Source organism: Homo sapiens, chromosome X (assembly GCF_000001405.40).
Source record: "Homo sapiens chromosome X, GRCh38.p14 Primary Assembly".
In the NCBI taxonomy this organism is placed as follows: Eukaryota; Metazoa; Chordata; class Mammalia; order Primates; family Hominidae; genus Homo; species Homo sapiens.
The window spans coordinates 154,257,186-154,271,218 of record NC_000023.11 but is presented as its reverse complement, the minus strand read 5'-3'; the positions used below and the strand labels follow the sequence as shown (position 1 = coordinate 154,271,218).

At 53.0% G+C, this 14,033-nt stretch overlaps 1 protein-coding gene across 1 annotated transcript; it reads right to left on the bottom strand.

The window, feature by feature from the left end:
• Nucleotides 1-128: 128 nt before the first annotated feature.
• OPN1MW3 (opsin 1, medium wave sensitive 3) lies at nucleotides 129-13,637 on the bottom strand. The gene is made up of 6 exons (NM_001330067.2): nucleotides 13,488-13,637; nucleotides 8,211-8,507; nucleotides 6,055-6,223; nucleotides 4,422-4,587; nucleotides 2,628-2,867; nucleotides 129-345 (listed from the first exon to the last, which is right to left on the bottom strand). Exons 1-6 carry the CDS (start codon nucleotides 13,597-13,599, stop codon nucleotides 235-237), a joined length of 1,095 nt encoding a protein of 364 aa, NP_001316996.1. The 5' UTR covers nucleotides 13,600-13,637; the 3' UTR covers nucleotides 129-234.
• Between the last annotated feature and the right edge of the window lie 396 nt (nucleotides 13,638-14,033).

Sequence of the window (14,033 nt, the reverse complement as noted above, 5' to 3'; positions counted from 1 at the left end):
TCGGGAAAACTTAAAGTCTATGAAGCGCTCTCTCCTCTTTATCCCCCTTGCACCCTCTCGAGACCCAGTGCCTGCACACGCAGAGGCTCAGGTGGTCCCACACTGCAGTGAAAGCCTCTGTGACTTTGTTGGTTTTGGCAAAGATAAATTACATTTATTTTACAGGGATGGAGAAGGAGGGGGAAAGGAGAGGTGGCCAAAGCCCCGGTGGGCGGGATGGGTAGGAGGCAGACCTCATGCAGGCGATACCGAGGACACAGATGAGACCTCCGTTTTGGAGGCGCTGGAGAGTTCAGAGCCATCGTCAACCTTCTTCCCGAAAAGCTGCAAGATGCAGTTTCGAAACTGGAAGGACAGAAAGCGTTATTGAGCAGAGCAGGGAAGGGTGGAGCACTGTGCTGAATGTACGTGCCCGAGCCTTCCCTTCACCCATTCCGAATCCCATGGGGGATGGAGGAAGGCTTGGATTATTTCTCCCTCACACGCGGGGATGTCATCTGACTTAGCAGTTGATGGTGACTACACTGGGTTGAAGTGGGTCCCCCAAAAGATGTGTTCAGGTTAAGATGAGGTCACACTGGAGCAGGGTGGGCCCTAATCGAATGACTGGTGTCCTGATAAGAAAAGGAACGCTTGGACACGGACACGCAGACAGAGGGAAGAAGGCCACGTGAAGATGAAGGCAGAGACTGGGGTGACACACCTTGGAGTCAAGGAACGCCAAAGACTGCCGGCAGCCCTGCAGCTGCTTCTCCCTCCCGGCCTCCATAGGGAACCTTTCCATTTGCCAACACCCTGATTTCAGACTCAAGATTTCCAGAACCCTGAGAGAATCCATTTCTGTGGTTTGAAGCCACTGAGTTTGTGGTAGTTTGTGACGGCAGCCCCATGACACTCATCCACAGTGACAGCTAAGGGGCAGTGGTGACCTGTCCCCAGACTGTCTGGTGAGCGGCTCGGAGGAATATTAATGAAAAGGCATGTGGTTGTCATGTTTTTTCCAGTCCATGGATCTGGGGCAAGGTGAGGCCTAGGTAATGACAATCTAGCCCCTACCTCATCTCTCCAGCCAAGCGTCTTCCGGTACCAGGAGGGGTCTGTCTTTGCTGCTTCACCCCAAAGAGATCTGGGCCATATGAATGTCTCAAATCATGTCCTGTGTCATCCCTGAAGTAACCACAATGCTTTGAGGACCCAGACCAAAGGCATTTTCTAAATATTTCAGGCCTACTCTTGACTAGCTCTAACTCCCTCTATCATCAAAACTCTCAAAAATAAAAAATATAATGGTTGAAATTAATAACATAAGAAACGGGACAAACAGCAGAATCAGCTCGGCTGAAGAGCTGGGAGATAGGGCTGAGGAATCCATTCAGCAGCTGCTGCTTGAGCACCCACTGTGTGCCAGACTCTGTCCTGAGCAAAATTTGCTGTCTTCATGGAACTGCGTTCCAGAAAATTCTCTCAGAATGTGGCAGGACAGGATAATTATGTGGAAAGGGTAAAAGCAAAGTTCGAGGCCTGGTGAGGTCCAGAAGTGCAGACATCTGTCTCCCCCTGTCCAGGGGGAGTTCTGGAAAGGAGAATGGAAATAATCCAGTAAAGACAGTACTTGGCAAGATAGTTTAGGATTCCAGAAACCTAAAAAAGATCCTCATGAAAGTCAGGAAACAGGGGTCAGGGATAGAACTACACTCTGGGCATCAGTGTGCTACAGCGAGTTCCCGGAAATCCACTGCAGGCCTGGTCCTACTTACTATTTAAAAGTTACCAGAGAGAATGAACCCTTAATGAACTCTGCAGACTTGGCTTGTGTGAGTCAAAGCTGAGCCAAAGGGGCTGGAGCCATTGAGTGGCTCTAAGATGGAGAAGCAAGGAAGAGCCCAGTGGAAGGGATGGACTGGGCCTGGTGAAATGGGAGGCCTCTGCACACCTTTCTGGCCACCATCAAGTCACATCACAGCTGCGCTTTAATGAAGCCTGTAACCTGCAGGAGGTGGGGGGATTTAGGTGTGTGAGCAGCTTGCTGCTGAGGCCCAATATGCCAGCTAAGGAGGCTGCCTCTGGGCAGGACCACAGCACGTCCCCCCTGAACTAACCCACAAACTCGTGAAAGCTCTTGAACTCTTGGTCAGTGTAGCCAAGGAGGGCCGGCTTTTGTTCTTATAGGAAGACAAATTCCAGAGGTTACGGTTTGAAAATGGAGAGATGAAGGTTGAGAAGGGTCGAGTCTGAACAGAAGAGGGGCACACCTAGGGTGGATGTACCTAGGGCTCACCAACTCCTAGAGCGTCTGAACGCCAGGAGAGCCCCTGAAGCTCGGCAGCCATAGTTCTAGGGCCACCGGAAGGGAAGAGCGCACGGCACACAGACGCTTTGGGAAATGCCACCCTCAGGCCGAGACTATAAAGGATTCCAGAGGGCACACCTAAGCCTTCTGCTAAGGGCCAGCCGGAGCTCTGGCTGGGGCTGGGTCACACGCTGAGCCTTTCCCGGTCATTTCCCTGGAGGGTCCCCCAGATGCTCCGCGGGCTTCTTATCAGAGACATGATTCCAGGTGGGGCCATCGCTGCACCCTTCTAGGGCACACGGTATTTTGAGTGGGATCTGCTGATGGTGTTGCTTACCTGCCGGTTCATAAAGACATAGATAACGGGGTTGTAGATAGTGGCACTTTTGGCAAAGAAGGCCGGCAGGGCAGCCATCAAAGGGTGGAAGGGGTAGCCAGGGTTGGCAGCAGCAAAGCATGCGAAGAAGGCGTAGGGTCCCCAGCAGAAGCAGAATGCCAGGACCATCACCACCACCATGCGCGTCACTTCCTTCTCTGCCTTCTGGGTGGATTCAGACTCTTTCTGCTGCTTTGCCACCTAAGGGAGACAGGGATAGTGAGTCGGGGGTTGGAGGGCAGCAAGAGGCAGGTGACCCAGGCATAGGGAGTTGTGGGGAGGAGGAGAGGAGCCCAGCAGCCATCTTCCAGCCCTGAGTGGAGCACAGCCGGCCCCAGGCAGACATGGCTGCCTCAGGCTGGCCCTGGGGGAGTTCTAGAATTGGAGGTGGCATGCAGCTAGGTGTGGCCTAAGATGACCCCAGAGCTGGATCTAACAAGCTCCTTTGCTTCACCTGATCCCTTAACAGACTGTCCTGTCCTGCGCTCAGGCCTGAGCATGGAGGCCTGATTTGATTGATGACTGGGCGTGGAGAATGAAGGAGTTAACAAGGTGGAGATGGCGGGGGAGGCAAAAGCAGTGGCTGGCGGGGTGCGCGATGGGAGTGTCAGAGCAATGCATACACTTCCCTCAGGCTTCCTAGGCTAGGTTGGCCACTCTGTGGACTAAATCCTGCCCTGGACTCACGGTGAGGCAGCTGAGGGCAGCTTTGGTGGGGTGGCTCCTTCATGCCTGCTGGGAGGAAGGAGACGAATGGCCTCCAGGCAGAGGCACTGTGGGGGAGGCCAGAGGCCAGCCACCACCTGCCAGGGATGAGGGACTGGCGGCAGGCAGATGAGTGGGGATGAGAGAGGGAGTGTGAGGGCTGGAATGCAGGGATGGCTGAGACAGCAGAGCCGGGGCCACATTGTGGAGCTGGGGCTCTACCATCCCAGACTAATACAGCCGAAGCCATGGTTGGGTACCTGTGGGAGCCTTCACCCCAAGGTGACGGGGTGAGGGGGCCTTTCACAGGCTCACAGACTCCTCTAGAGAGAGCTTGGCAGGCATGCCCATCCAATTGTGGGCACAGGCAGCTTCATATAGGAAAGCCAGCACCCTGAAAGGGCTCCCACTGCTAACAGAAAAGAACCAGCCTGGCTCTCCTCCCTTGCTCTGACTTCCTGAAGGGCTCCCAGTGGTAGCCTAGTCTAGGGGTGGGGGGTGACGGCTGTGGACAGGATCAGCTTCCCAGGGCAGAGGGCCAGACATGGAGGTGGAGAGTGGGTCAGGGGGGCAAATGGCACTCTCGGGTCCACTCCTTGGTCGGCCCCACAGCCTATGAAAAGGACAAGGGTACTCCGGTGGCAGCCTCATAAAAACACGCCTTGATTTGCAGGTGTCATTTGCTGATGTGGCTGCTCCACTCTACTCTGTGGGAAAGGCAGCCTTTCCACCCCGGGGAGAACTGTCCAGGGTCGGGGCAAGGCACACCTCTGTTCCCTTAGTGGACTCCTCCAGGGAGGGAGTGGCAGTGCTTTCCCGTCTCACAGAGCTGAGGACAACGGGGCTGGGGCTGAACCTGCAGCCACTGGTACAGTCCCAAAGGAATCACCTGATTCTCATCGCTGGATCTTAATATTTTCTTATAGGGGTAAAATCCTCTTCTCTAAGGATTTTTGGAAAAATAGTTTAGGAGTCTCAGTGGACTCATTTGAGGGCAGAGCAGCTTAGGGGCAGGAGGCGGGTGAGGCCAGGAGGAATCGGGGGGCTTACCGCTCGGATGGCCAGCCACACTTGGAGGTAGCAGAGCACGATGATGCTGAGTGGGGTGATGCAGCAGGTGACCATGAGGACAATCATGTAAGACTGCACCCCGGGGTACGAGCTGCCGCTGAACACGTCTGGGCCGCATGAAGTCTTCAGGCCGTGGGGCCAGTACCTGGAGAGAAGGGCCGGCAGCCAGTCCTGATGCAGGGTGGGGTGACCCAGGACCCCCGGCCCAGGCACGGTGCTAACTCGGGTGGGGTTTGTTTTTTTAAATTGAGGTGAAATTCATGTTGCATGAGATTACCCAATTTGAAGTGATCAATTCTGTGGCAGTCACCACCTCTGCTTCCAGAACATTTTCATCAACCCAAAACAAAACCGTTGGGTAGGATTTTGGTTAATCCTTGTCCATTTTTAGATGTCATGCCTTTCTTCTTTTTGAATTGTGGTAAAATACACATCACATAAAATGTACCATTATAGGCCAGGCACAATGGCTCACGCCTATAGTCCCAGCACATTTGGAGGCAGAGGTAGGAGGATTGCTCGAGCCCAGGAGTTCAAGACTAGCCTGGATCACATAGTGAGATCTTGTCTCTACAAAAAATAAAAAAAATTAGCTGGGTGAAGTGGTGCACCTGTAGGCCCAGCTCCTCAGGAGGCTGAGGTAGGAGGATCACTTGAGCCCAGGAGGTGGAGGCTGCAGTGAGCCATAATTACACCACTGCACTGTGCCAGCCTGAGTGACAGAGTGAGACCCTGTCTCAAAAAAAGAAAAAAGTACCATTGTGACCTTTGGTACATTCACAATGCTGTGCAACCATCTCCACTATCTGCTTCCAGGACATTTTCATCTTCCCAATCACTCCCCTTCTTTACAAAGGGATTGTGAGGTTCCTTCTTGCCCTGACCTTCTGAGAACACCCATGAAGAGCTGAGTCTTTTATCTGAGGTCAGCTAGGCCATGACTGAAATAAAGGGCCCTGCTCACTTAGTGGCCTGGAGGATTAAATGAGATAACCCGCGGGAGAGCCTCCACCAGGGTCAGCTCACCACACATGTTTGATAACGGGCAGCTGTGTGGGGCATGGCGGCATGAGGAGGGCGGGAGACAGAGACAGGCTTCCACAAGGTTTGTTTCCTAGAATTGTGGAACGTTCTCGAGGAAAGAACATTCCCTCTCCAAACACCACGAGAACTTATTCACGAGCTTGTCGATAAAACAGTGAAATGCTGTCCCACCCAGTCCACTCCAATCAAACATTTGAGCCACTTGCTTGGCCTGGCCAGGACATGTGCTCTGTAGGCCCAGGTGGATCTATGACCCAAGCAGCCTCTGAAAGGTGGGGGGCGTGGTGCGGCAGCGTGTGCAAGAAAGAGACCTGGAATGCAAACACGCTATGCGTTCACTGACAGCTGTGCTGATGGCCTGAGCTCCGTGTGCGCCTGTGACCTGATCGTGCTTGGGATAAATATGTTTCCAGAGGTTCGGGGACCACAGAGCCTTTCCTATGTTGCAGCCACATTCATACATTGATAGACATTGCACGCTCAGAGGGGCCCAGAGAAAGGAAGTGATTTGCCTTAAGGTCACAGAGTCTGACCCTGCCCACTCCATCTTGCGTCCTCGCACCCTTACCTGCTCCAACCAAAGATGGGCGGGGCTGTCCACACAGCAGCCCAGATCCAGGAGAAGGCAATGCCCACGATGGCCAGCTTGGCATCAAATCTCACATTGCCAAAGGGCTTGCAGACCACCATCCATCTCTCCCAGGAAATGATGGCCAGAGACCAGAGACCTGTGATCCCTATGGGGAGAGCAGACAGATGAGGGCTTTGAGCCAAAGCAAAGGTGGGAAGCAAAGCTTCCCACTGTCCTGCTTAGACCCCAAACGTCTGCACACAGAATTCAGGGCTCCACGGACTGAGGTGGAAAAAACGACATCTTTCTTTCCACCAACCTCGAACAGACACTGGAAATTTCCTTCCATTATGAACGTGGCAGTATTAGCAGTACCCGTGACTCGGTCAGCAAGAGAGGTCACAGATGTTTTCCTGTCAATTCATAGAGGTGGCAGAGAGTTCGAATACCACTTATGTTCATCACTACTCTGAAATAACAGTGGTTGTCAGGCGGGATCCTGTTACTTAATACCTTAATACTGAGTGGTGTCACTAATACGTTTAACACATGCTTTTATTTTTATTTACTTTTTGAGACAGAATCTCACTCTGTTGCCCAGGCTGAGTGCAGTGGTGCCATCATAGCTCACTGCAGCCTTGACCTCCAGAGCTCAAGCGATCCTCCCGCCTGAGCCTCCTGAGTAGCTGGGACTACTGGTGTGCCACCACGCCCAGCTGTTTTTATTTGTTGTAGAGAAGAGGTCTCACTATGTTGCCCAGGCTGGTCTCAAACTCTTGGAGGCAAGCAGTCCTCCCACCTCAGCCTCCCAAAGTGCTGGGATTACAGGTATGAGCCTGGCCAGTAAATGCTTTTAACTAAAGACTATGTTACTGATGAATGTTTAATACTTTGATAACTGTATTTCAGTATAATTTGCTGCCTTTGTAATCCTATGGGTCTCATTTTATGCGTTTGCAAAAATTCTCCTGAGATGGGGTCCACAGGCTTCCCAGATGGCCAAGGGCATCCGTGGACCAAAAGTGGTGGGGAAGTGCTGGCTGCTTGGCACCTGACTGACCCAAGAACAGACCATGAGCAGAGGCAAGGGTGAGCGGGAGACCATGGCAGAAACGGAGACAGACGTGGGCGGAGATGCAGGGGGGCACTCGGGAAGGGTCGTGTGACCACCGAGGCCATGCCTGCTGCAGAGAGCACTCGGACCTGGGGATGGACCTTCTCTGCCTGACCTTCCCTTGGCTCCCCTTCTACACTATCGGGGTAGTGCCGGGACTTGGACAAGCACCCTCTCTGGTCTGGGCCATCGTGGGTACAATTTGAGGCAGTTAACGGGGTGGGGTTGGGGAGGCTGCTAAGAGTGGTGGGGAGGCAAGAGCAGGAGCTGCTGCTGCTGGATGTGGGGTCTCCTCCTCCTGAAAGAAAGTCCCAGCTCCTGGGCATGACGTCTGAGGCCTCTGAGACCTGGGCCTGCCCACCTCGTGTCCAGCAGCCACGGCTGCTTGGTGGTACTCTATCCACTCGAACCACAAACTGCTCCCAGCCGCTCCTCCACCACCTGCCCCAGGCCCCTTCTTGTCTGAGAGGACTGATGATGGTACTGTGTGGTTGCCGTCTGGCTATAGGGCCCCCTCCTTAGCACAGAGCCTGGCACGCTAGTACCTCTCGGCCACTGTCTCCTGACCTGAGCGGAATAGTGGCCCACAGAGATATTAGTGATGGGGATGGGGAGAGGATCTGGGAATTGTGTCTCCTCCGGGAAAAGCAGATGCTGGCGAGCTGAAAGAGCAGGCATCCCTAATTGCAGGGGAGTTCTGTCCAGGGTGCCCAGAGTCCCCGCCCCCCTACTGTTCTGGGGTTGTCTAGCTCTGTATCTGTCTCCTCCCACACCAGCCCCACAGCTCCAAACTGGCTGTCCCCGGGCAGAGCCTGACTCAAGAGTAGGAACTCAGGGTATGTTTGACTCAAGGGAGCTGAATTTAATGTGAGTGTTCAGATGGAAGCCTCCAGAACCCTTCAGTATATGGATGTGAGGCGCAGATGTGGAGGGAGACAGGCCTACAGGAGCAGCTGGGCCCCGATCATCATGAGGTGGCCGGAGGGGCTTGCAGGGTGAATGAGTGGTTTCCGCTGAGCCTGGGCCCCGACTGGCTTACCACACAGGGAGACGGTGTAGCCCTCCAGGACACACATAGGGTGGCCCAGCACGAAGTAGCCATAGACCTGGTTCACAACGCTGATAGTGCTGGCGATGACGGTCTCTGCCAGGTCAGCGACCGCCAGGTTCACCAGGATCCAGTTCAGCGGGTGGCGCAGCTTCTTGAACTTCATGGTGGCCGCCAGCACAAGCCCATTTGTGAAGACGGATGCAATGACCACAAAGATCATCCAGACACTGGTGAGGTGGTACACCCATCTGGGAGCGATGTGGTAATTCGGGCCTTCGAAGGGGCCTGAGGGCAGGAGGCAGAGGAGAGAGAGGAGCTGGGCTGCAGCACCGCCTGTCTATACCAGTGCTGATCCCACCTCTCCCCTCCCCCTTCCGCCCTCCTGCCTTTGCAATTGGCTGTTTCCCTCCAGCTTTGTCCATCCTCAGACAGTCTCCCCTCCATCCTGTCCCTCAAGCCAGAGACCATCGCCCGCTGGTCACTGGCACTGGCATCTTGAACTTAACAGAACTCCTCATCGTCTCCTCCATCTGATTCCCCACTCCCAGTGTGCAGTCACCCCACTTCCCTGCTCCCCTCTTCCCTTTGCCCCAGCCCCACCTCCTACCTCCCACAGTCCTCTGCCCTTCCATAGAGAAACGCTTGCCTCCTGTAAAGCCCAGCTCATATGCATTTGCCTTCCAGAAGATTCCCCAGCTAGTGGCAACTCACCCCCTTGAGGGGAAGACCACTACCCACCTCTGTCACCTTCTGTCACACATAGGAGTTACTGTTCATGATGATCTGAATGTACGTGCCCCCCATAAATTTCTGTGTTGAAATCCCAACCCCCAAGGTGATGGTATTAGGAGGTGGGGCCTTTGGCAGGTCATTTAGGTCATGTGTGCAGAGTGAGTGGGGCCCTCATGAATGGGATTAGTGCCCTTATAAAAGAGGTCCTAGAAGCTGGGCATGGTGGCTCACGCCTGTAGCCCCAGCTACTCAGGAGGCCAACGTGGGAGGATCACTTGAGCCTTTGGGAACAGCCCAAATTAGCTGGGAATGGTGGCTCATGCCTGTAATCCCAGCACTTTGGGAGGCTGAGGCTGGAGGGTTGCTTGAGCCCAGGAGTTCAAATCCAACCTGGGCAACATGGCATGCCCATGTAAAAAAAATTTTTTTTTAATTAAAACAAACAAGAAAAAGAGTCCCTAGAGTGCTCTCTAGCTCTCTTTCTTCCATGTGAGGATACAATGAGTTGTTGGCAATCTGCAGTCAGGAAGAGGGTCCTCGCCAGAGCCCACCACGCTAGCACCCTGACTTCCAGCCTCCAGAGCTGTGAGAAATACATTTATCATTTAAAAGCCACCCAATCTATGGTAATTTCTCTTTTATTCTTTTCCTTTCTTTCTTTTCTTTTTTTTTTTTTTTTGGGACAAAGTCTTGCTCTGTCACCCAGGCTGGAGTATAGTGGCACAATCATAGCTCACTGCAACGTGGAACTCCTGGGCTCAAGCGATCCTCCTGGGCTCAAGCGATCCTCCTGCCTCAGCCTCTCGAGTACCTGGGACTACAAGCCGTGCATTACCACAATGGCAATTTTTTTTATTTCTGTAGAGATGGGGTCTGGCTATGTTGCCTAGGCTGGTCTCGAACTCCTGACTTCAAGTGATCCTCCCACCTTGGCCTCCCAAGTAGCTGGGACTACAAACGAATTATTTCTCCTTTTTCTTCTGTAGGAGTTTGCTAGGGCTCTACACCTTTTGTGTTGGAAGGACCTTCGTCATAACATTGTTTTTGGCAGATTACTTGAAGGGATTGCAAGCCACAGACCTGCTGCCATATAAGGCCTCATGGAGAGTCCCAAGGTTTATCAAGAGATTCTTTAGCTGTGTGTTAGAAAAGCCCAACTCAAGCTAGCTTAAGAAAAATGGGGATTTCCTGGCTATGGCCAGGAGAGACAGATAAATCTCACCCCTAGCACAGCTGGATCCCACAAGGCCTCTGCTGCCCTCTGTGCACGGGCCCCATATGTTCCTAACACAAGGAGCTTCTGGAAACCCACAGACAATGTCTGCAATCCCGATACCTGGCACTGGCTCCCCAGGAACCCCCAGTATGAGCAGCAGGGACAGACCATTGACAATTGAAGACCTGCATGGCGTCAGTCTCCGTGCAGAAGGAAGCAGAGGGGAGCAATGGGGTTGCTGATGGACCTAAGAACAGAGAACCCCCAAACTGTCGGCAGCTCTTCCCTGGGAAGTACCTTGGGTGAACTGGGGAAGAGCAGCTGAGACTGGGAGGGTTTGGGACACTCTGGCCTGCAGGCAAGTGCAAGGGGCTGGAGCAATCTAGGTGCTACGACCTCTGAAAACAAGGCAGCCAGTGCCCTTCCCTGGCAACCCTTGCGGTCCAAATTGGGCAGTGCAGGGACAAGGGGGCAAAGGAGAGAACAGGTCCCAGCAGCAGTGGGGGAGGGGACAGGAGCTGCCACCAGTGTAACTAGAGCTGGTGTCATGGCCTACCCCTCCCTCCTGAAAGTTCTGGAACTGAATTTCATGAAGCAATGAGCAAGAGAATCAAAGTCAGCTCCCAGGCAAAGTGATTCGAGGAAATACAGGCAGGTAGGGAAGGGGCGGTCGGTGGTGGCGCAGAGAAGCCAGACTTCTTCAAATACACCTTCTTTTCTAGATTTTAATTTGAGACTTTTAACTGTTTTATTACATAATTATAAAACAAAATTTAAGTGGCCGGGGGCGGTGGCTCACACCTGTAATCCCAGCACTTTGGGAAGCCGAGGTGGGCGGACGACTTGAGGTCAGCAGTTGGAGACCAGCCTGGCCAACATGGTGAAACCCTGTCTCTACTAAAAATAAAAAAAATTAGCTGGGCGTGGTGGCGGGCACCTGTAGTCCCAGCTCCTCGGGAGGCTGAGGCAGGAGAATCGCTCGAACCGAGGAGGCGGAAGTTGCAGTGAGCTGAGATCGCGCCACTGCACTCCAGCCTGGGCGACAGAGTAAGACTGTCTCGAAAAAATAAAATAAAGTAAAATAAAAGTTTAAATTTACAGAGCAATCTCTGAAAATCAGCAACAAAAGAAATGAAGCTAAATGCATATCCACTGAGTGGCATATCACTTAGAGAGGGACTATTCTAAGGGACTGGAAACACACCGGTTTACTACACAACCTAGTGGCATATACCCTCAGGGTAAGAAGACCTGTGAAGATGTTAAGGTTTTGGTCACCAATAGGTGAAGGCAGGGTAAGGTGTCCGAATGCCGTCATTTTCCATCCCCAGTGGTTTAATTGGTCTGGGCATTGAGTTTCAGTAGCTGCCAACACCCCAGAAAAGAGACACTCTCCTTGCCAAAACACACCAACAAATCCAACCTGCCTCTGGCCAGATCCTCAGATCAACTACCAATTTACAGAAAAATCATAATGAACAACGTCAGAGGGGCCTGTTAGGCTACGTCATGAACGACTTGCTTGCTTCCACAAATAAATTGCAGGGAGATAGAAAGGGAACCTCTAGATTCAAAGGTAGTCAAAAGGCATATCAGTCAATCTGAATGTGTGGACCTTATTTGAGCCCTGATTCAAGCAGACTGAAAATACGTATGACATTTTTTGAACACTACTAGGATATTTGAAGCTATTCAGGAAATATTGTTACACTTGTCGGTGTGATGATGACTTGTGGTTATGTATTGAGAAGAGCCCTTTTCTCCTAGAGGAACATAGTAAAGATTTACAGAGGGAAGGGTGTGATGTCTTGGATTTGCTTCCAAGAATCAGGAAGAAAGGGTAGTGGAGGGGTCACAGATGAAATGAGATGAAACCGTGGAAGCTGAGTGATGGGTACCGGAGTTCATTACACTCCTCCCTCTACTTTAGTAGATGCTTGAAGTTTTGTGGAAAAAAAAAAAAACCCACCCCGACATTTGAAAAGAGTGCACTGAAGCATCATGCATTGATGAAGTCTGGGGGCATCTAGGAAGAGACTGTTGACATTGCCACCAAGGAAATTCTGGGCACAGTCATGTTGAGGTCAACTGCAAGATCCTCATCCGGTTTGGTCTGGGCACTCTGTCACTAATTGGCACTCGGTCCTGGCCACCCCACAGCGGGATGTTTATTGGCAATCAAGGAGCTGGCGTGGCTTCTGGAAACCACAGCCTGCACGATGTTGTTGTTTTTTGTTTTGTTTTGTTTTGAGACAAGAGTCTCACTCTGTGGCCAGGCTGGAGCATAGTGGCGTGATCTCGGCTCACTGCAACCTCCACCTCCCGGGTTCAAGCGATTCTCCTGCCTCAGCCTCCTGAGTAGCTGGGACTACAGGCATGCGCCACCAAGCCCAGCTAATTTTTGCATTTTTAGTAGACATGAGGTTTCAGTATGTTGGCCAGGATGATCTCTATCTGTTGACCTCGTCATCTGCCCGCCTCTGCCTCCCAAAGTGCTGGGATTACAGGCGTGAGCCACTGTGCCCGGCCTGCACGATGTTCTTGAAGGCACCAAAGGAATTTGGTTTGGAGGAGGGACCTGGGGAGAGGGCCAGGAGTGGGGCGGTCACTGGTGTCCTCAGCTTCTTTGAGGGCCTGCGTGCAAAACTTTCGGATTGGGCAACTCCCAATGGCAGGACTCGGGCTGCCCTGATGAGAGCTTTCAGCTTTCTGTTGGGCCTGAGCCCTCTCTCCCAGGACGGCTCCGAATGGAAAGATGGCCCTGGGCGCCAATGCAGCCTCTTCCCCCAGAGGTGTGCAGCCAAAAGCCAAGTGGCCCCATCATGGAGTTTGACAAAATGACTGCTACAGGCTTTGCCGACCCTGAAGTTCTAGAAGTTTCTTGCCCTCTGCTGCTGTCTTCCCCACCCTCCCGCCTCCCTTGGGTGTGTCAGTATGTTGCCTCCTTTCGGCTTCAAATGTAAAGACAGACCCAGCTCTTCCCCAGGAAGCTGAGGGACTCCGTGGAATGAGAGGTCATTCGCTAGCAGTGAACACACTCATCTACGGGCCACAAAGAAAGAGCACATAAACTCTTCCCCGGCCTCGGATTCTCAAAGGGGCTGGGAAGCCTGTGTGGCTTGAGAATGCATATTCGATATTATGGTGTCCTTCTAGATTTGGAGAGGACCCCCCAATTCATGTCATCAGAAAAGCTATGGGAGAAAGCCTTCTCTGCTGGTGGGGACGTGCAGAAGAGAGATTCCCTTGGGCGGGGCAGGTGGGTGGCCGGTGGCCCCCAGTGCAGCCACCCAGCCTCCACGGGCCTGCTGGCTCACCTCTGGTGGAGTTGCTGTTGGTGTAGGTGAAGATGCTGGACTGGGTGCTGTCCTCATAGCTGTCCTGCGGATGGCGGCCTGCGAGCCTTTGGAGGCTCCACTGCTGGGCCATGGCTATGGAAAGCCCTGTCCCCGACGGCAGCCGGCCCTGGTGCGTCACCTGAGGGTCACGGTGCTTTATACCGGCCAGTGGGATCAGCCCGGGCCTCTTCACCTTAAAAGCTCCCAAATCCTACACCATCTGATCTCTTAATTGGGCCTGGGACTTAGACCTCCTCCTCCCACCCCTTGCTTCCTTGCTCCTGAGGCGAGCCCCCGGGGGCGGCTCAGAGGGATTTGCTGGAAACCTGTAATCCCAGCTACTGGGAGGTCGAGGCAGGAGAATCGCTTGAATCTGGGAGGCGGAGGTTGCAGTGAGCTGAGATGGCGCCACTGAACTCTAGCCTGGGCAACAGACCAAGACTCTGTCTAAAAAAAAGTGGCTGGGCACAGTGGCACACGCCTGTAATCCCAGCACTTTGGGAGGCCAAGGCGGGTAGATCTCCT

What these genes read in the sequence shown, in the direction of transcription:
- OPN1MW3 (NM_001330067.2), bottom strand. Translation starts at nt 13,599, where the DNA reads ATGGCCCAGCAGTGGAGCCTCCAAAGGCTCGCAGGCCGCCATCCGCAG. An exon ending in CTACACCGTCTCCCTGTGTG is followed by an intron (nt 6,224 to 8,210) that starts GTAAGCCAGTCG and finishes CTCTCCCCATAG; the next exon opens with GGATCACAGGTCTCTGGTCT. An exon ending in ATGTCTTTATGAACCGGCAG is followed by an intron (nt 346 to 2,627) that starts GTAAGCAACACC and finishes CTGTCCTTCCAG; the next exon opens with TTTCGAAACTGCATCTTGCA.